The following is a 1,819-nucleotide window of genomic DNA, read 5'->3' as shown; positions in this document are numbered from 1 at the left end:
TGGCACAAGACAGGGATGCCCTCTCTCACCACTCCTATTCAACATAGTGTTGGAAGTTCTGGCCAGGGCAATTAAGCAGGAGAAGAAAATAAAGGGTATTCAGTTAGGAAAAGAGGAAGTCAAATTGTCCCTGTTTGCAGACGACATGATTGTATATCTAGAAAACCCCATTGTCTCAGCCCAAAATCTCCTTAAGCTGATAAGCAACTTCAGCAAAGTCTCAGGATACAAAATCAATGTACAAAAATCACAAGCATTCTTATACACCAACAACAGACAAACAGAGAGCCAAATCATGAGTGAACTCCCATTCACAATTGCTTCAAAGAGAATAAAATACCTAGGAATCCAACTTACAAGGGATGTGAAGGACCTCTTCAAGGAGTTCTACAAACCACTGCTCAAGGAAATAAAAGAGAATACAAACAAATGGAAGAACATTTCATGTTCATGGGTAGGAAGAATCAATATCATGAAAACGGCCATACTGCCCAAGGTAATTTACAGATTCAATGCCATCCCCATCAAGCTACCAATGACTTTCTTCACAGAATTGGAAAAAACTAAAGTTCATATGCAACCAAAAAAGAGCCTGCATCGCCAAGTCAGTCCTAAGCCAAAAGAACAAAGCTGGAGGCATCACGCTACCTGACTTCAAACTATACTACAAGGTTACAGTAACCAAAACAGCATGGTACTGGTACCAAAACAGAGATATAGATCAATGGAACAGAACAGGACCCACTGCTTTCTGCCTAGGAACCTGTCTGCCCCCTACCGCCATCAACCTGCTGTCCACGAGCCCACAGTGCCCAGGCTGTTCATGTCGAGGTGGGCCTGCAGGCCTGTGCCGAGCTGCCCTCACCACCCCTCGGCCTCCCTCCCATGCTTCTCGGTGCCCAAAGTCCGGAGGGGGCTGAGGTGGCAAGGGCTGGTGAGTCAGCACTGCCCTGAGTGCGTGCACACCCAGCTGGGTCACAACAGTGCCTGGGTTTAGCCTCAACTTTGCTCCAAAATCAGAGCGGGCACTGGGAGCAGGGAGAGGCCTGGCAGTTGGAGCAGACACTTCCGATCCTGCGAGGGGAGGTGGGCTTCCTGGGTCTCCGAGAGTGAAGGGATGCCCGGGTCTGCAGCTGTGGCTGGGCAGCTGCAGTGCGCCCGGGAGGTTGGGGCTCCTGCCCCTCTAACTCGGAAGGGGGTGAGGCTCCTACCTGTTCCCAGCTCCCGCTGGCTCTGTGGAGTGCGTAGCCTAGGCCGTGCCTCCCCAGCCGCTGCCATGATGCCACTACTATCATTAAGGTGATCTTGAAACTAGCATCCAAGGTCACACTACAAGTGCTCGGAAAATATCTGTTGATTTCTGATTCCTAGATGGCTTTTGCCCACTAGCCCATTAAGGACCTTCATGTCTGTAATGTCAAAAATTATAGACATAGCGTGTGTCTATAATGTTTAAGTTCAGTTTTGGGATTCAAGTGCAGGTGAGACAAATGCTCTCTTTTATGAACTCAGCTTCTCCAGTGTAAACTGAAAAGGAAGCCAGGCAGTGTTGTATTACTGAACTAGTTTGGGGCACACAAATATCCTTGTCAGTTTCAGAAGGGTCAGTGGAGTATTCTGTTCACTGAAAATTTTCATACATTGCAAGGAGATGAAATGCACTGAGAATAAAATGAAATGTCATCCATAGTGAAATGAAATGTCTGGGAAAGGGAAAAGGAGACAGACAAGGATGATAGAGTTGACAGTCATGGGCAGACAGCCGTTTAGCATAAGTTAATTTACCAGCCAGCTCAGTCCAAAAGGATGCTTATATCTG

General features: G+C 47.4%; 1 annotated feature.

Moving 5' to 3' along the window:
• Window positions 543-1,043: an enhancer, noted in NCBI's record as "H3K4me1 hESC enhancer chr4:153669773-153670273 (GRCh37/hg19 assembly coordinates)". NCBI's record gives its function as "activates a minimal SCP1, AML or CMV promoter by ChIP-STARR-seq in primed H9 embryonic stem cells {active_cell/tissue: H9 hESC(primed)}" and the evidence as "EXISTENCE:reporter gene assay evidence [ECO:0000049][PMID:30033119]".

This window comes from Homo sapiens, chromosome 4, assembly GCF_000001405.40.
Source record: "Homo sapiens chromosome 4, GRCh38.p14 Primary Assembly".
Taxonomy (NCBI): Eukaryota; Metazoa; Chordata; class Mammalia; order Primates; family Hominidae; genus Homo; species Homo sapiens.
The sequence above is the reverse complement of the archived record's forward strand: the minus strand, read 5'-3'. Positions and strand labels throughout refer to the sequence as shown.